The 22947-nt window shown below is 36.7% G+C and overlaps 2 protein-coding genes across 6 annotated transcripts in view, besides 1 other annotated feature; one reads left to right on the top strand and one right to left on the bottom strand.

Annotated features, from left to right (window-relative positions):
- LRRC49 (leucine rich repeat containing 49) overlaps positions 1 to 22947 on the top strand; it is a 200281-nt gene that overhangs the window by 26498 nt on the left and 150836 nt on the right. Inside the window, exons 1-5 of one of the 5 annotated variants that reach the window (NM_001199018.3) lie at positions 12951 to 13067; positions 13709 to 13765; positions 15974 to 16061; positions 18492 to 18580; positions 21047 to 21149. In NM_001199018.3, coding sequence (NP_001185947.1) covers positions 18520 to 18580; positions 21047 to 21149 — 164 coding nt within the window. In that variant the 5' untranslated portion in view covers positions 12951 to 13067; positions 13709 to 13765; positions 15974 to 16061; positions 18492 to 18519. Of the gene's footprint in view, positions 1 to 12950; positions 13068 to 13708; positions 13781 to 14696; positions 14795 to 15973; positions 16062 to 18491; positions 18581 to 21046; positions 21150 to 22947 lie in introns of those variants that run through there. The other 4 variants (NM_001199017.3, NM_001363732.2, NM_017691.5 and 1 more) reach the window with 4 other exon arrangements.
- On the bottom strand, positions 1467 to 12558 carry THAP10 (THAP domain containing 10). Its single transcript, NM_020147.4, has 3 exons — positions 11969 to 12558; positions 2886 to 3033; positions 1467 to 2775 (listed from the first exon to the last, which is right to left on the bottom strand). Exons 1-3 carry the CDS (start codon positions 12395 to 12397, stop codon positions 2579 to 2581), a joined length of 774 nt encoding a protein of 257 aa, NP_064532.1. The 5' UTR covers positions 12398 to 12558; the 3' UTR covers positions 1467 to 2578.
- Positions 12213 to 12911: an enhancer, noted in NCBI's record as "H3K27ac-H3K4me1 hESC enhancer chr15:71184427-71185125 (GRCh37/hg19 assembly coordinates)". NCBI's record gives its function as "activates a minimal SCP1, AML or CMV promoter by ChIP-STARR-seq in naive H9 embryonic stem cells {active_cell/tissue: H9 hESC(naive)}" and the evidence as "EXISTENCE:reporter gene assay evidence [ECO:0000049][PMID:30033119]".

The raw sequence follows: 22947 nt of genomic DNA on the forward strand, positions 1-22947 counted from the left end.
AGTTTAAGAAATAAATACTGGCAGATAATTAAACCAATCATAAGAACACATTTAAAATAGAATTTAAGCCCAGAATAAAACAAAAATTCCAGATTGTAGCCTCTGATACCGTAACATGGTCTGGTCCTATATACCATTCCAACTTCATCTCTTACCATTGTTTGCCTCATTCATTATCTCTAGCCACCCTAGTCTTCTTACTGTTCCTCAGACACACCAGAGAAACTGCTGTTCCTATCACCTGGAATTCTCTTCCCTCAGATCATTGCGTGGTCACTCCTTCTGATATCCAGGTCTCTGATCATATATGCTCTCCTCAGAGAGGTCTTTTCTGATTACCCTATCTAAAACAGCTCAACAAACCTCTCCCCCCACCTCAATTAACATCTTCTCCTACTTTGTCTTCTTCAAAGCACTAATCACTATCTCAAATTATCCATTCATTTTCTTGTTAATTGTCTGCCTCCCCCACCAAAAGGTAAGCGCCAGGACAGAATCTTTGTCTTAATCACCAATGTATCCTTAGTGAACACTTGTCTGGCACAGAGTATATGTTTGATAAATACTTATGAATAAATAAATTGAATAATGATATGGGAGGTACTAAGGTAAATATAACTTTTCCCCCCACTAAACTGGTCTAGCAACTAAATAAATTAAAAATATTTGTGCAAAAATCAAACAATATAATATAAACTATAAGTTCCTTATACGTCATTTAAAATAAAGCCAGTATTTCCTTTTACTGTGAAGGGCAGTGAAACATACACAATAAATTATGAGATCATGCAAATCAGCAAATCAAGTATAAATACTCAATTGGTGGAAGAAGAAAACTAAGTGAAGAGTAAAAAAAAAAGTGTTGACATGGCTGTCAAAACTGTTTAACATGTAGAAATGAAGTAGATTCATGGCAGTGAAATTTGGGGACAAATGGGCATGTAACTTCATTATGGTTTGAATTAAGGAGATAGGCTATTTCAAAGCTCAAAGGGTACTTATTGATGGGATTTAGCTTCAGAAGATTTATGTGATTCATTTTAAAACATAATGCTCTCTTAAAACAGGCCAGGTCCAGTGACTCATGCCTGTAATCCCAGCACTCTGGGAGACCGAGGTGGCAGGATTGCTTGAGGCCAGGAGTTTGAGACCAGTCTGGGCAATGTAGTGAGACCCCATCTTTACAAAAAATTTAAAAAACAAATTAGCTGGGTATGGTGGCACACACCTATAGTCCTAGCTACTCAGGAGACTGAGGTGGGAGGATCGTCTGAGCCCAGGAGTTTGAGGTTACAATGAGCTATGATTGCAGCACTACATTCCAGCCTGGGCGATAGAACATGACCCTGTCTCTAAAACAAGCAAACAAAAAACAGTCATCTCAAATTCAAGTCAAAATAGCAGTAACAATAATGAAAGTAATAATAATGCTATGTTTTTACACAATCATTGTTCAGGCTCACAACTCCTATTAATATTTTATTTTATTTTCCTTAAAGCAGACATAAAATTACATTTGGAAGAAAATAACTTTGATGTATTATTTAAACCTTCTAGGATAAAAATACATGCAAGTTCTTCTAATCATTCAGAACTAAGAAGACATATGAGGTGTAAAATTGATATTTATTTTTGTTATTCTCAATGGAAGATCAGAGTTATAGTATGCTTCTCAGAAACTATTGTAACAGTTTACTTCATGGTACAAAATTGCCATAGAAATTTTTCCTGGTGAATGGCAGACGGGGCAGCTAATATTTCCATGCTTATTTCTCAAATGTAGAATTCAAAAGAGAGGTGTTGACAGAAAAAATACCTAACACCTGCAATGGGAATACGTTAGAAATGTAGTACTTTTATTTTTCATGATGTTAATGATTCTAATCTAAATTAATCAAGCTAATTAATGTGTCGCAGTAAGCACTGATGCAAACAGATTTCATTAATAAGTTAATGTAAGTATATGAAAACTCTATCTCTAAATTGATTCCTTTGAAAAATTTCTGTAAGAACCATAGATTCATCAGAAATGCTCACAGGACAGATCTATACATGTTACAAATGGACAAACTAATAAATAAATAACATAAAAAATAGTCAAGGGTAGATGTCCTGGCTTCACTACCAAATCATTTAGTAGTGTCAGGCTTGGCTGTGCTCACTGTTACTGTGTTACTGCTCTATACTTTCAAATTATTTAGAAGAGTAGGGATATTCTAACTAGCAAATGTCAAGTCCTGTAGGAGCGTTGCTTCTGAACTAAGCTTAAACAAATATTCAATGCTTAATTTTGATTAGGAAGTGTTGCTGATATTGTGGTTTTGCTTTGTAACCTGATTTCTACCAAAAGGATTAAAAGAAAAAAAAAGGTGAAAGTAGAGAATAGGGATGTTTGTGGGTAGGTATTATCTTCATTGTGTTGGCAAGCAAGCAAACTTTTGCCTTAGAGCTAAACAAATTATGCTGATACTCAACTGTCAAATTATCTTGAAGTGAAAGATTTACAATAGCAAAGAGATAATTATGTGAGTAAAGATTTGAAAATCTATAGCACATCAGAGCATTTGATGTTGAGTTTTTAACATGTTTCTTCTTTCACCTGTACAGCCATATAAGACAAATCACTCTGTTCACTCTTGATATCCCAGTCTGTATCTGTTTCTGAATCACTGGAGTAAATGTCAAAGAGAGAGGAAGTTCTAGACCACAATTCCTCTGTCTGAGTAGTTGCATTACACAGTCTTTTTCCAAACGCTTTCACTTTGGCTTGAATACCTGAAAGAGAATAAGCATAAGTACCTATGAGTTAGACTTTGCTTTTCATATATCTTTAATATACGAAAGATCAATTCAATTGCTTAATCCATTGAAGAGTCAAAACATACCCACACTACGGTGACGGGGCCTTTTCAAAGAAATTTGTGTACTTTTATGCACTGGGCCTTCTTCACAGTGAGTAGGTACTGAAGTGACAGTATTAGATGGATTATCAGCATGGGGTTGGGTTTGCACAAGTTCATTTTCACACGTAATCTAAAAATACAAATCAGAGGAGAAACATATTAAAGTGTACCTTATAGGATTTTATCTTTCAAAAGTTACAAGTAGTAAGACAGTATAGCTGAAAATTTTCAGTCACATATTAGTAAGGCTGATATTTGAACCTAGGCAAGGTGAATCTATAGTCCAACCTTTTATGAATTCTGCCATATTGTCTTTTTTCCACTTATAAATCATGAATTCTGGTCAGCCAGAATGCATAAGCTATTTGCTTACAACTAATTTTTTTTTTTCTTAAATCAAAAGCTAGAAGAGATAATACTTTTTTTTTTTGAGATGGAGTTTTGCTCTTGTTGCCCAAGCTGGAGCGCAATGGTGCCATCTCGGCTCACTGCAATCTCCGCCTGCCGGGTTCAAGTGATTCTCCTGCCTCAGCTTCCCAAGTAGCTGGGATTACAGGCAGGCGCCACCACGCCCAGCTAATTTTTTTGTATTTTTAGTAGAAACAGGGTTTCACCATGTTAGCCAGGCTGGTCTCGAACTCCTAACCTCAGGTGATCTGCCCGCCTCAGCCTCCCAAAGTGTTGGGTTTACAGGCGTGAGGCACCTCGCCCAACCAAGATGATACTATCAGTATTAACTTATTTGATATCTTAGCAGTCATATTATTCTAGAAAACCTAATCATTTGTTCTTTATACTTTATAGAAGTCTCCTTTAATAAGATAAGTGACTTTTAATACTTTCCTGAGAAAAACTACATTGTGAAATGGAATTTTTTTTTTTTTTTTGAGACAGGGGTCTCCCTCTGTCACCCAGACCGGAGTGCAGAAGCATGATCTTGGCTCACTGCAACTGCAACATCCACCTCCCGGGTTCAAGCAATTGTCGTGCCTCAGCCTCCCAAGTAGCTGGGATTACAGGTGCCTGCCACCATGCCTGGCTAATTTTTTGTATTTTTAGTAGAGACAATGTTTCACCATGGTAACCAGGCTGGTCTCAAACTCCTGGCCTCAAGTGATCCGCCTGCCTCAGCCTCCCAAAGTGCTGGGATTACAGGCGTGTGCTATTGTGCCAGGCGGTGAAATTTGATTTGTAGGGGAACTAATATGGGTGAGAGGTAGAAAGAAGGAGGGTTTTGATATGTAAAAGGTAATATAAGACAGGGTACCTAGAGATTATGTGGAAGACGGTAAGAAAAGATATCTGGAAAAGTTAAGAGAGCCTGGGAGGAGAGAAAGTAAGTGATAGAGAAATGAAAACAAAATTAAAGTGTTTAGCAGTAGTGGCAGCTGCCTTCAAACCACTGAAAAAATATTTTAGTAGGTGTCTTTGGTGGCTGTATCATAGGCTATTGATACCCAAGTTAAAGAAACTTTGTGGCCACACACAGTAGCTCACGCCTCCCAGCACTTCGGGAGGCTGAGGCAGGAAGATCACTTGAGGTCAGGAGTTCGAGATCAGCCTAGCCAACATCGTGAAACCCCACCTCTACTAAAATACAAAAATTAGCTGGCATGGTGGTACATCAGCTATTCGGGAGGCTGAGGCACAATAATTGCTTGAAGCCGGGAGGCAGAGGTTGCAGTGAGCCAAGATCACACCACTGCACTCCAGCCTGGGCGACAGAGTGAGGCTCTGTTTCAAACACACACATATATACACACAGAAAAAAAAAAAAGAAAGAAACTTTGTAAAGAAATTCCTGTGAAGAGTCCCTTTGTAACACAAATCTTATTTAAAGGGTTTATCTCCACGTTTATTAAATCATGACCAATTTTCACTAGCTATATCTACTTCTAAGCCAAGCATTGTCAAAGTCCAGAATAAACACATATTTCTTTACAAAAAGGTGTATTCTGGATAAAATAGAGTTTTAGAAATTTAATCAGGGTTAAAAAAATAACTTTTATTCCCTTTATAACAATAATACATTTTTTACTGCAAAAATTTGCACCATACAGAGAAGCAAAAAGAAGCTAAAAATTAGTCATAATCTCACAATCCATAGCTAAAACTTTATATTTTGATGTTGTCTTTTTATGTGTATTTTTAAAAACTGAGATAATATAATGCTTTATAACCTAGTTTTCCCACTTATTTTATATATAATCTGTTATTAAATATTCTAAATCATAATTTTTATTGCCACATAGGAATGTATTCTACAGATATACTACAATTTATTAAAACAATCCATATTACTAGGAATATTTGAACATAAATCTCTTGTGTAGATATCCGATTGCTTCTTCAGATTAAAAGCTTAGAGGCAGAATTTCCAGGCACGTATTAATCCACTAGAACATGAGTCAAAAGAAAATATCTAGAACAAGGCAGAAAGAGACAAAAGGAAAATAGAAAATACAGAAAATGTCATAACAGACATAGGGGATAAGATTTAAAAGTATAACATAAAATGGGGCAGACGCAATATTTGAACAAATAACAGCTGAGAGTTTATCAAAATGGATAGAAGGCATTAAGACATGCCTTTACAAAAGTACTATAAACCCTTTCTATTTATCAAAATAAAAACAACAGAAACCAAACCTATGCACACTACAGTAAAACTGGAAAATGAAGAGAAAAACTTAATAGCAGCCAGAGGAAAAAAGATACATTCTCTTCAGCGGGGTAACCATAGGACAGAATAATGCCTAAACTTTTAAGGACACAGAAAGATTGAAAGTAGAAGGATGGAAACAGATGTACTATGCAAACACTAAGTTAAAGAAAGCTGGTGTTGCTATATTAGCACTACATACCTAATAACATAGCTTCAAAATATATACATACCTAATAACATTGCTAATAACCTAATAACATAGCTTCAAGATATATACCACCAAATAGGTAGAATTTGAAGATTAATATGTAAATTCAAAATCGCAGTGGAAGATTGCAACATCACTTTCTTAGTAATTAAGATAAAAATTCCAAAAGGATATAGGAAATTTAAACATGATTAATAGACATCAGTGGAACACTATCCAAGTGCAGTACGCACATTCATCTCAAGTACATATGGAACATTTAAAAAACTATTTTGAGCATGTTACAAGTTTCAACAAATTTCAAAAAATTAAGTCCATATATTGCATTTTCTCTGGCAGTAGTGTAATTGACCTAGAAATCTATTGCAAAAATTTAACTAAAAAATGCCCAGAGATACGGGAATTAAAAAATATACTTCTAATTAACCCACGAATAAAAGATAAAATCACAATGGAAATTAGATATTTTATACTAAATAATAAAAATACTGCATACCTAAAACTTGTAAGATTCAGTAAAGCCATGTTAGGTGGGGACTTATAATCTTTAATGCATATATTAGGATAGGAAAATTAATTGGGCTTAATTTAGGTTAGAATTATTAATATCATGCAAAAGGTATTCCACAAAATATCTCTAACATAGCCCCCTCTCAGGACCCAGATTTTCCTCTATCAACACCACTTTACTGAATTCTACATTTGTGAAATAAGCTTGTGAAACTTAGCTGCACCATTTAACATTCACCATAAAAATTCTGAAAATCAATGATATAATTTAACTTCTTAAGAAGTTAAAGACAGAGCAGTGGACAAAATTTTAAAAAGCAGAGGAAGGGAATAATGAATAAGTGAAATAAATGAAAAAAAAATTCTAGAGAGATCAACAAGGCAAAGTTTGTTCTTTGGAAAGACTAATAAAAATTGATAAACCGGTGGGGTGCGGTGGCTCACGCCTGTAATCCCAGCACTTTGGGAGGCTAAGGCAGGTGGGTCACGAGGTCAGGAGTTCAAGACCAGCCTGGCCAAGATGGTGAAACCCCATCACTACTAAAAATACAAAAATTAGCTGGGTGCGGTGGCAGGCACCTGTAATCCCAGCTACTCGGGAGGCTGAGACAGGAGAATCGCTTGAACCCGGGTGGCAGAGGTTGTAGTGAGCTGAGATTGCGCCACTGCACTCCAGCCTGTGTGACAGAGTGAGCCTCTGTCTAAAAAAGAAAAAAAAAAATCGATAAACCATCTGGTGAAGCTGATCAAGAAAAAATGAAAAAGCAAAAATTACCTCAGCTCAAACAGAATTTTTTTCAAATACAAGATTATCATGAAGGTTTTGTGTCAATACATTTAAAAATTTAGATGGAACAGACAAATTAAAAAATACTATTAATCAAAATGGATAAACAAAATACTATTTATCAAAATGGATAAACAAAAGAACTCTGAATAACCTTATAACAAAGAAATTGAATCCATCATAAAAAACCTTTCCAAAAGGAAAACTCCTGTCTTATCAATGAGTTCTACCAAATATTAATACCAAATTTATTAATGGATATATGCCATTTTATATAAACATTTCCAGAGAATGAAAAAAGAAGGAACAATTCCAAATCTGTTGGCATAATCTTCATACCAAACCTGAGAAAGGCATTCCAAGAAAGAAAAAAACTGTAGAACAGTTTCACTCGTGCACACAGATACAAAAATCCTAAATATTTTATTTTAGCTAATATTTTATTAAGCAATATGAGAAAGGAATAAAACACTTTGACCAAATTGAGTTTATTTTAGCCATGCAAGTTTGACTCTACATTTTAAAACCAATCAATATAATTTACTATATTAACATAATAAAAATGTTATCCTTAATAGATTCAGAACAACCATTTGATAAAATTCACCATTATTTATAATCTAAACTAGAAATAAAGGGGAACATTTCTTTTTATTACAAAGAGAGCTATAAAAAACTATAGTAAAAATCATAATCAAATGGGGAAATATTAAAGGCTTTCCCTCTGAAATTAGGAATGAGAAAAGGATTCCCCTCACCTCTTCTGTTCCCACACTGTACTGGACATTCAAGCCAGTGCAACAGGAAGAATACGAAATAAAAACACGAATATCAAACGCTTTTCTCAGATGATATTTTTGTACATGTATAAAATTCAAGAGAATTTATAAACTATTGAAATTAATAAGTGAGTTTAACAAGGTTTTTGGATACAAGTTCAACAAAAATTAATTTATCAATATGCACTTATAGATTATAAAATTTAAAATACCATTTATAGTAGCAAAATCAAATAGCTGTGAATAAATCTAATGAAAGATATGTAAGACCTCTACATCAAATGCCACAAAACACTTCTAAGAAAAATTTAAAAACCCAAATAAATGGAGATATATGTTCATGGATTAGAAGAGTCAATATTGTCAATATGCCATTTATTCCCATATTCATTTATGAATTCCATGGAGTCATAATCAAAATCCTCGTGAGTAACTTGTGAAAATTGACAAATCAATTCTGAAATGTATCTAGAAATCTAAAGAGCCCAACATAGTCAAAATATCCACAAACATGAACAAGGTAAGAGGTATTAATCAATTGAATATTCTTAATAAAGCTATATAAGACACTGTGATACTTTTGCTTAGGCAAACAGATAAGTGAAACAGAATAAAGTATGTGGAAACAGACCTATGCATATAAAGGGCACTTGATTTATGACAAAGTTGACATTGCAAGGCCAAGAAGAAATGCTAGTAGTTTCAATAAAAGATGCTGAGTCAAATGGGTATCAATGTTGGGGAAAATGAAACTTAAATCCTACCTCACACCAAACACAAAAATCAATTCTGAATTAGATCTAAATATAAAAAGTAAAAACAACAAAGTTTATTACAAACAGCATAGTAAAATGTTTTAAGTATTAAGAATAAGGAAAATTATTGGTAATTTGGACTACATCAGAATTAAGAACTTCAGTACATCAAAAGACATTATTAAGAACCAAGAGGCAACCCATAGTGGGAGAAGATAAAAACATTTAACTGAAAAAGGACTTCCAGGTAGAATCTATTAAAAATTCTAAATCAACAAGAAAAGACAGACAATCCAACAGAAAAATGGGCTAGATTTAAAAGGGCATGTCACTGAAGGCTACCTAAATATCCAATTAATATTTGAAAAGGTGTTTCCTTACTAATTTCATCAGTAATCGGGGGATGAAAAGCAAAAACATTACTACGCACTCTGCAAATGGACTCAGATGTGAAAGACTAGAAATCCCACGTATAGGCAAGAATGTGGAACAATGGAAACTATCAAACTTGTGGTAGAAGTGTAAATTGGTACAAGTATTTTAGAAAACTATTTGGTATTATCTACTGAAGTTTAATGTAATACTATGACCCAGCAATTCTAGGTATATATCCTCAGAAATGTGTGCACACGTGGACCAAAACACATATACAAGAGTTTATGGTAGTATCACTTATGATAGCCCCAATGGGTAAAAACCCAAATGTTCAACAATAGACAGACAAATTTTGGTATATTCATACAATGGAATACTACATAATAATGAAAATGAACTACTGTTCTATGCAACAATATGGATGAATCTCAAAAATGTAATGTTGAACAAAAGAAGCCAGACACAGAAAATGGCTACAGTATGATTTGATTTATATGAAATCCCCCCCCCAAAAAAAAGCAAACTTGGTTACCTTTGAGGAGAGGGGAGGGGCTGGATATGGGGTGATATAGGGACTCCTGGGGTGCTAGCAATGTTCTGTTTCTTTGACTTGGGTTGTGGTTACACATGTTCAGTTTATGATAATTTAATGACTTGTCCACTTAAGATTTGTTCACTTTTCTGTGTATTTGCTATAGTTCAAGTCAACAATTTAAAAAATTCAGTTGGGTTTTTTAAAAAAGAATGCAAAATTAACAGTTAAGGGAAAACAATAAATAAGCCCCTTTCTTTCCTTGGAAGTGGTGTCTTATCTTTTTGGAAGCCCCCTAAAGATATGTAACACTCATATTTATATTGATCCATATATAGCACCAAGCACCCAGAACAGTGTCTACAATAGCTCTTCAATAAATGTTGCAGAATCACTGGAAATCTGATTTTTAGACAGTTAGTCCTGGGATTGGGAAGAAAAACATTGGGTGGGGGAAGAAGTCAGATAGACAAGCCAATTTTTTAGCGATGTGGTTAGGGTTCTTTATCCAGACCAGGCTAAACATTTATTGCTATCAACTCAAAATCTTTTTAACCTTATATACTTTTAAAGTGACTATTTTAGAACTCACAGTTTTCTAGTAATTCAGCAAGTATATTAATGTACTATGGATTGTTATAAATGTTGGCTGGTTATACTTACTAAATGGAAAACAGATTTATTATGTATGCTGGATCTGTTTCCCAACGGTTAGTTTTTATGGGTTATAAAGACTTTGGTTGTTTGACTAGCTTGGCTTTTCTTCTCCCAATTTTTGATTAGGTTGTGTAATTATGAAGAAGAAAAATGGTGTAGGGGGATGTGTGTGGCACATGTTTAGTATTTATCTCTCTTGCTACACACATATATATGTATGTGGATGTATATGTTTGGGCAAAGTTTGTATAGGTGGTGATGGTGGACAGATGGTTCAAGGAAAGGACAGCTATCTTGACAGGTATACAGCTTGGTGAGGAGGGAAACTGGCAGATAATTGAAAATTCAATTATAATGCAAAAATTTGTTCTTATAGTCATGTAATCATTCCATAAATATTTATTGAATTACTTAAATTTGTAAAATATTGTTTTAGGCACTGCAATACAATGGCAAAGAAATCAGACATGATCCTAGCTCTCATGGAGCTTACATTCTAATATGAGAAACAAATATTAAGCAAACTACACAATTATTTCATGGCAATTATGGTAAGTGCTACTGAAGTATCTGTGCTATTGAATCACATGGAGTACACGAAGAATGAGAGTACATAACTAAGGGATCAAGGGGAAAGATGTTTAGCTGATTTTTAAGGGAAAAAGACTTAATTGGCAATGATGGGAGTGGGAGGGGCATAGTTCCAGGATATTATAATACATGCAACAACTGAGCAAAGTCTTGTTGGTAGGAAGTAATATAGTATAGTATGTCCAAGAACTGAAAGGTCAGCATGATGGTACACAGTGAGCAACAGGGACAGTGGCCTTGGTTAGGGCTAGTGTGGTATGCAGGGGGAAAAAACATGCAGGGCCATGTAAATTGGGTTAATAATTTTGCTCTTTATCTTAATAATTGCAAGATGCCATTAAAGGGTCTTAAATACCCACCCCAATGTAGGAAGCAGGTTAGTACTGCAGAAAGAGTGTTGGTCTGGCAACCGGACCTAAGTAAGGATTACAGACCCCTGAGGAAATTACTAACCTCTTGCTATAATTTAATCTGTGTAATGGTGGCAAGGCTGAAGTTTATCACAAGGAAGGCTGGAAAGTTTTCTTTAAAATGGTACGTGGGGAAGAAGGTAGTAGTAACCAGATGCAAAATGAGTGCAAACAATGTTTAGAAGGAACAGAAAAGTAGGCAGAAGAGAGCAAGATGGGGAAAGTCAGCTCACTAGGGATACTGAACTTAAAGGCAGCTGGAGCTAGTTATCAGTCATAAAGGAAGCTTGGGGTGGGAAGGGATTTATTAGCAAGCTCCATCATCTTCATCTGTAGCTCCACATCTCCTTCGCCCCATCATTTGTGACACAAATAAGGGACTTTCCTCAAGCTTATGTAATGTTATGCAACACAGTTTCAAGCACTCCAATCCTGGAGATTTGCTCAAATTAAACCCTTTCTATTTAAAAACTCTGGAGCAGCGAGTGAAAGCAACTCACTACTCTGCAGGACAAGACTCTGTGTGTGTGTGTGTGTGTGTGTGTGTGTGTGTGTGTGTGTGTGTGTGTGTGAGTTTTGGGGGAGGAGCAGTTAGAAGGAATTAACTGGGTCACTTAATTCCAAAGTGTTAATGATAAGTGGGACCTTGGAGATCACCTCTAAAGCACACCCCTAACTTTGCAGATTAGAAAACAGGAACTTTCGAGATGAGGTGCCTTTCCCAAGGTGACACTAAGTGGAGGAGCCCAGCCAGAGTCCAGGGGTCCTTACACAACCTTCGGTGGTCTCTCTTTACCTGTGAAGCTGCAGCCTGCTTCCCAGCTCGGGGGCGTGTACAGGAGACTGGACCTGGGGCAGCCTCAGAATGCCTGGCTGCCTGGAGCTCTCCTCGCGTGTCCAGGCGGCCTGCTTGGTCTCCCTCCTCTCCCCTCTTAGGTGCCGGGGCGGGCACCCGGTGCAGGGTGGGCACGGCGCCTGCCACCAGCCTCAGGCGCTGGGAGAAGCGCAGGTTCTTCTGGATAACCGAAGAGACGTCAAAACAGGCTGGGGCAAAGTGGTCAGAGCAGATGACCGAGCGGTCATTGCCTCCGTACCAGTCGGCGCGGCAACCCCGCACGAAGCGGTCCCAGAGCAGCCGCACGGCCCGGTCCTTGGGAAAGCGGAACAGCGACTTCCCAGACTTGGTGGTGTTGCCGCAGTGGGCGGCCACACAACGGGCCGGCATGGCGGCCGTCTTCGGTGCGCGGGAGCCGGGTTCCCTGGACCTTCGCCCTTGGGCACGCTCCTCGCAGCGGCCTCGGCGAGGCAAGTCCTCCCCTCCTCACCTGTCCACTCCGGGTCGGGATTGTTTCCTTCCCTACCTCTGGTCACCGGAAGTGGCGATCTGGGGCCCCCAATGGGAGGGCTCTTTGATATCTTCCTCCTCCTCCTCCCTGCGCTGCTCCCCAGGAGCCAGTGGACACAAGCAGAGGGATACAAATTTCGCGCGGGCAGCGCTGAGGTGGGCCGTAAAGAGGAACGGACCGGAAGTGGTGGTGGTTATAGCAACCAGTGTGGCCAGCCTCTTCCCCAGCTTATCCTCCTCCCAATACTCCCGCTCTGTTTTTATGAGGCTGGGAAAATAGAACGAGGAAGTGGTGACGCACTGGGCTCTCACGAATACAACTAGAAGCTGCAACGACTGTGTGGCTCTATCGATTCGGGAGAGGTCCAGACCGGAAATGGTCGTTTCCATGGTAACCCTGAGCAGGTTGCCTGGGAGATGACCTCTTTCGGGTCTCTTTGAATCTCCGCTGTAGCGTCACCTGGAAGGCAGATCTAACAGAGAACCTGGACTGTCTCCTATCATGATTCCCGGGAAATATCGCTCTGTTTCTGGCCGGGCTGCGAACAACGTAAGTTGGGCCTTCTACTTTCTCTTTCTTCCCACTGGTACTCTTTCTGACTGGCGTCTTTGTCCTAGGAGATGGGCTGTATTATTAGGACCGGCACCGCTGGGTCTACTCAAGCTATTGTCTGACCAGGGTTTGAGGTTCGTGGGCTGGACCAAGGCACAATTTAATATTGTATGATGGGTACTCAAAGTCTTGTCCAGGATCTGGGCTCCCCAGAAGGTGGAGCTGGTCTGCTGTGAAAGGCTTGGGTTTATTTAAATTCCTTTGGCCAGTCAATTCCTTTTTCTTTTCTTTTCCTTTTAACTGTGAAGAGAATTTATCATTAGGGACTCCCACCTCCTTCACCTGTCTCATTGAGATGTTTATTTAGACCTGAATGGCAAATGTCGAAAGCCTGAGGTACTAACTAGAGGGTTAAATTGCTGCCGACATTTTGGAAAATAAATCAGTGAAACCTTTTAATTCTTAGATGTGATTTTATTGTTTTCAGCAAATCCTCAGAACAAGATCATTTACCAGAAACAGAAATAGAGCATTGTGTTCTATTTTTTTGTTGTATTTCTGTTTGTACCTTTTTTTTTTTTGGAAATATGTGTTTGTGTATTAAGAGCAAATTTTATGGTTTAATTTTTACATTTCAGGTGAACTGCGGGCTTCATCTGGTTATTCAAACATCATCGCTTCCTGAAAAAAACAAAGTAAGATTTAAGAAGGTTGGCATTTAAATTGAAGATTGTTTTAAATTCTACACAAATAGCAGCATGACTTAAAGTGTAGATAGATTCTAAACTGAAAAATTTAAGTAGATTTGCTTTGATTTCCAGTTTAAAGCTAGTTCTTACTTTCTGCCTACATAAAGCTAAAATAGCCCTCTTTAAAAAACTTAATGTGATTTTATTGATTACAAAAGGGTAAGGGTTTTTTTGTTTTTTTTTTTTGACATTTACACTTTTTTTTTTCTTGAGACAGGGTCTAGCTGTATCACCCAGGCTGGGGCGCTGGGGTGCAGTGGCACAATTTTGGCTCACTGCAACCTCTGCCTCCCAGGCTCAAGCGATCCTCCCACCTCAGCCTCCTGAATAGCTGGGACCACAGGTGCATGCCACCACGCCCGGCTAATATTTTTGTATTTTTTGTAGAGACAGGTTTCACCATGTTGCCCAGGCTGTTCTCGAGCTCCTGAGCTGAAGCAATCCGCTTGCTTTGGCCTCCCAAAGTGCTGGGATTACAGGCAACAGCCACCGCACCCAGTGATATTTACACATTTCTGAAATCAGGAGCCTTCTTAAAATTGATGGCATGTCATAGTTTAATTGGGGAGGTTTTTTTTCTTTCTTAATAGAGGGTAAAATAATGGTATGTCTTACTACTAATGACACCTTAGATAAAATGGTAATTGGGAGGGCATATCCACACATCCCATTTAAAATCAGGGAAGAAAAAAATAGGTTAGCAGTGGACACATGTTAGACTTAACGTTATTTAGAAGTTACGATATGAATATGAGATTTTTTTCCCCAAGATTATTTCCCCATAATGTCTCTAGCATTTCTAGAATTTCTGGCTTTTGATTTAATTTTTGAGATTTTGAGATAAACATGTTTTTCTTTCCTTTCTGTCTCACCTCAGCATTTATACTTACCTACTTTCTACACACTATGTCTCAAGACACAACATGATTTTTCCTCCTTTGACCAAGTTGGAAACCTCTAACCATCACAATTCAGGTGTGTCCTAAAAAGTTATTAAATAGGCGTCACTGGAAGAACTCTAAAGTGAAGGGCAGAGTTCACACATAACAGCATGAAGAAGGGTAAGAAAAGGCATGAGGAAGGTAAATGGAAGGACATCGTTAGTCAAGGAGGCAGCTGTTGATTACATTATATATGAATATGAAAATGGTAAACACTCAGAAAATAGACAATTTGATCATCTCAAATAAACAGCAGTTAGATTAATTGAAAATATTATTTATTATAATTGAGCATAATGGATTCTCTCCAGAGCTTTCCTAATTGATTTCTCTGGACAAATCCTTTTCCACCATTATAATGTTTCTAGAGCTGTGTGCCTCATCTAAATATTTTTTCCAAACCATTCACTTTCTCTTGTGTGGACATCTATTCTGAGAAAATACCTTTAGGTCATATAATTCCTAAGGATATAATGCAAATGCCAACATAATGTTTATAGTATGGATACATTAGAAGTATCTTAATTAATTCAAGATACATATTTGGGGTTTTTTGTGGCTAATCATAAGAAGTTGTTCTGGTTTTGTTTTTCTCAGTCCTCCCACCAGATAATTATTTTAGATCAGTTTTAGATCAAGTGAAAACCTTTCTTAGAAGGCTTAAATATACAATTTTATTATATTATAATAGGACATTTAAAAGGATTATAATGATCAAAACAGTGATTTTTTCAACAGCATTTTATTTATATTGTGTGTTTTTTTTTGAAGCAAATGATTCTTTTAATCATTGTATTTGTGGTGAGAGCGTGGAGGGATTGGAAGTGTCTCAGCTTGGAATATCTTGTATCTGACCTCATAAAATTGATCCTGATTTTGTGGGTGGTAAAATACAATGATAGAGGTGCAGCCATCACCTCTATCTAGTTCCAGAATTTTTTCATCATTCCAAATGGAATCCCTGTACCCATTAAGCAGTTACTTCCCATTCCCTGCTTCCCTTAAATGCCTGGAAGCCACAAATATGCTTTCCATCTCTATGGATTTGCCAATGTGGTATTTTGTGTCAGTTTTCTTTCACTTGGCATGATGTTTTCAAGGTTCATCCACATTGTACCATGTGTATCAGTTATTATATGTTTTTTTAATTTATCTTCACTGCTTGGTGTTAAATTTGTCTCCAAATATTTTTTTCTTTAATAATGTTTTTCAGGTTGAATTCAAGCTAAATAAAGACACATCGTCATTCCCCGGTAGACTTTTACAACATGACCTTGAAAGAAACTACTCAAGTAGGCAAGGTATTGTCAGTGAATAGAGATCAGATGTGGTTCATCATCTTTGAATAATATTAAGTGTTTAATAATGTTGAATTACTAGATCCAAATAAACTTGAATTTAAAATGAAATTGTTCATTGGGACCAAATTGGTTTGGTATTTTTTTAAATCATTGGTTATATATATGTAGCATAGTAGATTATTTCCAATACAGAAAAAAGCTGTTATTATTTTACTTTGAGGGTGGGCTATACACTAGAGAATGGAAAAAGAATGTTTCAAATACTGTATTAGAACAGTATTTGGAAGTCGCTAATTAGAGTAAGAGTATGGGAACACAAATATTAAGGAAATCAGGAAAGAATGTAAAGTCAGGAGTAGAGAAGAAACAATCTTTCCCTGTTACTGTCACATATAATTATAGATTTTATATTAAAGGCTTTAAACTCTAGTGTCTATCACTTGGGATCTTGGGATCTTGTTAAAAATGCACATTCTTAGTGCTCCCCCTCCATCTTCCCCATTCTGATTTTGTAGGTCTTGAGCGGGATTTGGAAATGTGCATTTTAATAATGTCACAGGTGATTCTGAGGTATATGGTTTGTGGGTCATCCTTTGACAAATACTGCCTCACATGATCTGGTTATATTTCTGAAATATATTTTTCAAATCAAGGAAAACGTTCCTTCACATTTGAATCTTGGTTTGTTGCTGACAGCCATTAGCTTTCTGTAATGTGCTCATGTTAAACACTTCTGAATCCACATATACAAAACTGCCTCTACCTCTTAGGAGTTTATATGAGAGGGCTGATCAGTATAGGCCTTTCTAGGTTGTTCATGTTATTACTGTGGGAACATATGGCAATTTAAAATATTGGTTAATTTTCTCTCTCTTTTTATTTCTGGACCTACTTCTTGGACCCATCTAATCTGACATATCTTTTCTCTTTCCTACATTCTACACTCTTGTCTTGGCCAATTGCTGGACATGACGTCAGCCTAACTGCAGTTCCACAGTGTGGAAAACATCTGTCTTTGCCTTATTTGATTCAGTTCAATACTTATTTATAAAGCAAGTATTGTGTGCCGATCACTGTTTTAGGTACAGAATTATAGATGTGAAGCCTCAACTAGGGTTTTTATGCTTGCATTGTCAATTTCCTTGACATTTTTGGTAACAATATCTTAAAAGTTTTCCCGAAACCATGAATCAAAATTAAGTACTTTCACTAAGGTTTTCTTGAGTTAGAGTAGGCAGTTAGTAAACAGATTTGAGGACGGCTGGCCAGGCAAACTTATTTAAGTGGTAAAGTATTACTAGATATTCGCTAATGAGGAAATAGTATGGATGTATTGAATTTTGTGAACCTGAGAGATGAATAAAGTTTTATACATAAGTAATGACCCATTCAGTATGAATTAACTCTTTAGGAAAAAAAACCTAATTGGTTTTTCATTTAAAAAATTTATTCAAAATTGGTTTCTGTGACAGGATACTAATTTGAAATGTCTTAAATGTGTACCTGGTTACTTTCAATGTGCTCCCTCCATAGTTCCAGGCAGTTTCATGCAAAGAAGGCCACACAACTTATTTTCTTGACTTTTGTACTCAAATTTTACTTCCAAGGGTATAAAATTTTGGAAAAATTGTAAGTAGCACCTCATCAGGAAAAGTTTAGGGATGTCTGTCTAATAAACTGTATCTTGATACCCAATCATTATAATTAATTTCAGCCATTTCTTATTTTTCAAAATTAATCAAACATATCATAGCCTGTCCACAAAAATTAACCAGTGGTACTCTCAGTCAAAAGTAAAGACACTTGATATTTTCTTTAAGCTAGTGAGTTTAAAACTTGATATGTGATTTCTTTAGGCTTCTTAGAATATTGTTAAGAGTTAACCCCTGTCTTTGAGATTTTATAAGTGCCATATATTGCAGGAACTACTATATAATAAAATTTCAGTTAACCTGACCTTATTGATTAAATCCCTTAATTAGGAATTTTAAAATGTGTGTGTAGAAGGGAAGAGGCAATACTTTGCTCTTAAGATAATGATAAATCACTGAAAATCTGGAGTTAAGATTTTGGTTACCAAAACAATCTCAAAGACATGGCCGAGTGGACACACATATATGGCAATATGTACTATGCCGTCCATCCATCCACCTGTCTGTCCATCCACCCATCTGTTCATTTATCTATCCATGCATCCATCTCTTCATCTATATAGTCATACTTCCAACCAGCCATCCAGCCATCTCTGTATCTAGCATACAGTGCAGTGAACATTCTTACCAAATTTAGACCATTATACTTCTTAACACTTTGAGATGCTATTTGTATTGAGATTTTAACAGAAGTAACACACGCAAAATAGATTTTCAATTAAATCTTAGTAAACTGGAAAAACAATTAATTTGTCTATTGATTGCCTACTGAATTTAGATTTTACCAAGAATATAAAGAATGTAAAATGAGGTCCATCACCCAAGGAGCTTGTAGATTTATTTGGGAAGACAAGGGCTACATATCTGGTAAGTTAAATAGTAATATAAGAAATAAATAATAACAGGCCGGTTGCTATGGCTCATGCCTGTAACCCCAGCACTTTGGGAGGCCAAGGTGGGTGGATTGCTTGAGCCCAGGAGTTCAAGACCCCATCTTGAACATGGGTAATATGATGAAACCCCATCTGTAAAAAAAATACAAAAATTAGCTGGGTGTGGTGGCACATGCCTGTAGTCCCAGGTATTCGAGAGGCTGAGGTAGGAGGATCACTTGAGCCTGGGAGTTTGAGGCTGCAGTGAGCGGTAATCATGCCACACTAAATTCCAGCCTGGGTGACAGAGCAAGACCCTGTCTCAAAAAGAAAGAAAGAAAAAGGAAATAAACAGTAACAAACTGTTATGATGAAAATTTTGCCACATAGTAATGTAGTTTTTTTGTGGGTATTTATATACCCACATATATATGTGGATATTTGTATACCCACATATATATGTGGATATTTTAACTGCGGATCTCTCTGGTTCCCAGTTATTTAGAAGGTCTTGTTGTATGGTAGATTTAAGGCCTTTTACCCTAATCATTCTTATGTCTTTCTATTTATTGTAAGCAGTATATCACATCGATAGTAAGTTCATTATGCTGATAGTGATTATGACTTCTGTGTATTAAAAGAGCTAGAAAGTTTAAGGATAAAATTCCTTTATTCACTGAGTGTAAATTTAATCTTTGGTTATTGCCTCTGTATCTCAAGTCTTGTAAAGTTTAAATTTGCCTCTTAAAAATTGAGGATTGCCTTGAAGCCTTAACAAAATCATTCAGAAAACCTAACTAATGCTAACAAGAGAAACTGAGGTTGTCTGCTGCTTGGAGTTTTTCAATCTTTTGTCTTTAGTTGACCAATTAATCTTTAACTAGTTAATTCTTAGACTGCAGTCAGTCTTTAGACTGGTTTTTGTTTTGTTTTTGTTTTTTTAACCATCTTGACTTGATTTCCAAATCAATTTACTGACTTGTGGTTGCTTTTAGGTATCCTGCTAGCATGTGGTCATGCCAGAAAATCAGTTTATTGGTGAATATGATGTCAATTCTGAATGCTTATACTCTAGAACATCATTATTATCTTGATATTTTGTAATATTCAGAAAAGTGGGATGTGAGCACTGATTATTTTGTTCAAGAAACTAGGGGTGAGATACTTCAGTTTATGCCTTGCAGACCTGAGGTAGCTAGCAAATGCCATTGCCTTATAGCTTTTTAATATGATTTATATAGAACTTGATTTTAAGTTGTCATTATATTGTCTGGTGACCTCCCAAAGAGTAGGTTAGCTTTCCAGATTTGGTTTTCATCTTTTTGTTAGTTTCAACAGCAGAATTCTGTGGTAACATCAGGTTCTGTTTTACTATTATACTTAGTGCTCCCTTCAGGCATTTCAACATCAGTTGCTGCTTTCAGAAGATTTTCTTTTCATAGAGGAAAATATGGTAGATTTCCTCTGGCATTCAAACTGTCACGTTTGACCCATTACTCAAATTCTTACCTCATTTCTGGAACTTCTCATTGTTTCTTCTTGACCATTTACATTCTTCTAGTTCTTTAGAAAATATCTTAATATTCACCTCCCCTCAAACCCCTCTGTAACCACCTTCATTAAGTAAAAAATAACCAGACACACTTATGTGCAAACTTACAAATAGGTATTCTTTTTATTCTGCATTTATGTATGTTGTTCTATTTATGAATTTCATATGTGTATTTATTAATTTCAGTCTGCTAGATTGAAAGCTACATAATGGCAAGGACACCATCTAACAAACAGCCTATAAACCTTAGAGGGGTGTCATATACTTTGTGGACCCTAACTACGGTATGCTAGATTTACTGACATCCACTTTGGTATCTTGGCAATATTCTCTACTAATAGTGGCTGAACTTACAAAGAAAGAGATGATGCGAGGTTTACATCTGCTATCCAAAACTACTTTTTGTGTATTTCCTATGCATCTCATCCACAACAAATGTGACAGAACTATATGGGCTGGAAATGAAAACTGCCACGAGGTCCTTATCAGCATTTGGAGATTCTTCCATTAAGACACCTTCAAAATCCAGAATCCAGCAGGGCTGTCATAGTGCTGGCCCAAATATATCTGGTAATGAGGAACTATCATTTTAGTTATAGACAGTTAGAATTTAAGACAAGGAGTCAGGATTACAAAGGGATGAAGATAGCACTGGACTAGTTCTGTACTTTCAACCAATCTGTAAGGCAAGGGAAAAATTATTTGGCATACATGGAACACATAGTTTAGGTTTAAGAAGGAAAGAAACAAATTCAGCTTAGTAATTAATTTCAAATATGGAGAGCTATGGAAACTATACTTTCTAGATAAGATATTTATGGTGCTAAAATTCTCCAAATATAAGATGACTTTAGTTTCAGACTTCGAAGGTTTTTCTTAATTAAGTAATTTGTATATCATTTTTAATAGGTGATCATATTAATTTGGTGAGCTCATCATTGTCATCATTTCCTATTCTTCAACGTTCTTCTGAAGAGAAAATTCTTTACTCAGACAGGTTGAGCCTAGAAAGGTGAGGACAATTTCTTTTCTTTTCTTTTTTTTGACTAGGTAATACATAGACGTGGTACAAGACTTGAAAGATGCAAGTCTCCCTCCTTCCTCCTGTTCCCCAGTTATTCAATTCTCCTATTTAGATATAATTTTTTTAACCAGTTTTTTGCTTCTCCTTCCTGAGGTATGGTGAGGAATTTTATATCTATATAACATAAAAGAGCTTGACTATACTTCACAAGAGTACTACAGCAATTCTAAAATATGACATTGATGAAAAATGGATTGTAGTATAGAAAAAAACCACAGTATAATCCTCACATGAGCTTCCCAGGCCCTATCCAGTCTAGTTTCCTGTTACTTCACTGGCTTCATCTCTTCCTACACTCTCCTTCACTCACTGCTCCAATCATACCTGCCACCTTGCTGTTCCTTGAATACACCAAGAGTGATTATACCTCAGGAATTTGGTGCTTACTATCCCCTCTGCCTGGAATGCTGTTCCTTCTCATATCTCTAGGCTTATTGCCTTCAGGTCTTTGCTCAAATGTCATCATTTCAGGGATGATTTTTCTCTGGCCATCCTCTCCAAAATTGCAACCCCTTCCACACTGAAGTCTCTAGCCCCCTTCTCTGCTTTCATTATTTTTCTTCTTAGCATTTATTACCCTATAACATAATAACTATTTACTTATTATGTTTAGTGTCTGTCTCCTACTAGAATATATGTTCCATAAGCACAGAAACTTTTGTCCAGTTCTGTATTATTGGTATTTAGAACAGAACCTGGTACAAAACACACTCTTGATAAAATTTTTTTTAATGGAAGAATATATTTAGAACTCGATCCCCATCTTTACATCTAGAAACTATCCACAGTAGCATGGTGGGTGAAGGATCCCAATCTCTATCTACCCCAGTGGTATAACCAGCAGAGACAACATCTCTGTTTTGCATACCTTTAGCTTAGCAGTGCACACCTGACAACAAATTATAATGAACTATCTGTGTTTATAGTTGGGAAAAACTGCTGGAGGTTCTAACATGTTCTTTTGTAGGAAAAGTAACACTGAAGGGCAGTATCTCTCATGACATCTTTGCGGTATAAGTGGTTTATGAGAATGCTGTCTAATATTTATAACTTTCATGGTATTATTTTAATGTTTTGAGGGATTTTTTTGGTAACTTTTCTCTTGATCTTTGAAAGACTGGCCAAGAATAGTACCTCAGCCCTTCAGTTTCATGTTACTTGACATTAACAGGAGCCAGTATTTGTAAGACTGTGACATAACAAGTTAGGCACTTCCTTTGTAGCTTGGGATGACTCAGGCAATTGTGAAGATGGGTCCTTAACAGCATGGGCCTCTGGGGTGGAGAAGCAAACTTTGATCAGGCAGAGACTTGCTTATCAAGAAAGTCAGGATTGAGAGAACTGACTCCGCTTCAAAAGTTGGTTGTAAAATGACAGAATCACAAAGATATCATAAAGTTAGGCATCATTTGACAAGAACCAGGATGTGCAGTCAAGAAAGGTTGGCTAGCAGCAAGGAACTAACTCAGGTATCATTTCTGAGAGCCAGTGGGTAGTGCCAGTGATTTCCAAAGGCAGATCTGCCATGCTGTGCAGCTTCTTAGCTAGGAGCCTGAGGGGTCAAGGGCAGAAGCCAACCCTGAGAAGTAGTACTTGGAAGAGCTAGGCTCTGGCTGTTTTGGGAGTTAGGTTAGGCCTGGAGTACCAGGAAGGCAGCCTATCAGCACCAAGAAGGAAACACAGAAGCAAAGGCATAGTCTGTTAGATGTATCAGTAATGGGGTAGG

This window comes from Homo sapiens, chromosome 15 (assembly GCF_000001405.40).
Source record: "Homo sapiens chromosome 15, GRCh38.p14 Primary Assembly".
In the NCBI taxonomy this organism is placed as follows: domain Eukaryota; kingdom Metazoa; phylum Chordata; class Mammalia; order Primates; family Hominidae; genus Homo; species Homo sapiens.

Bases quoted from the DNA above. Each gene is read 5' to 3' on its own strand.
- THAP10 (NM_020147.4), bottom strand. From the start codon at position 12,397: ATGCCGGCCCGTTGTGTGGCCGCCCACTGCGGCAACACCACCAAGTCT. The intron at 3,034-11,968 runs GTAAAGAGAGAC...TTGTATTTTTAG, and splicing joins AGCAGGCTGCAGCTTCACAG to ATTACGTGTGAAAATGAACT. The intron at 2,776-2,885 runs GTATGTTTTGAC...ATTCTCTTTCAG, and splicing joins GCCCCGTCACCGTAGTGTGG to GTATTCAAGCCAAAGTGAAA.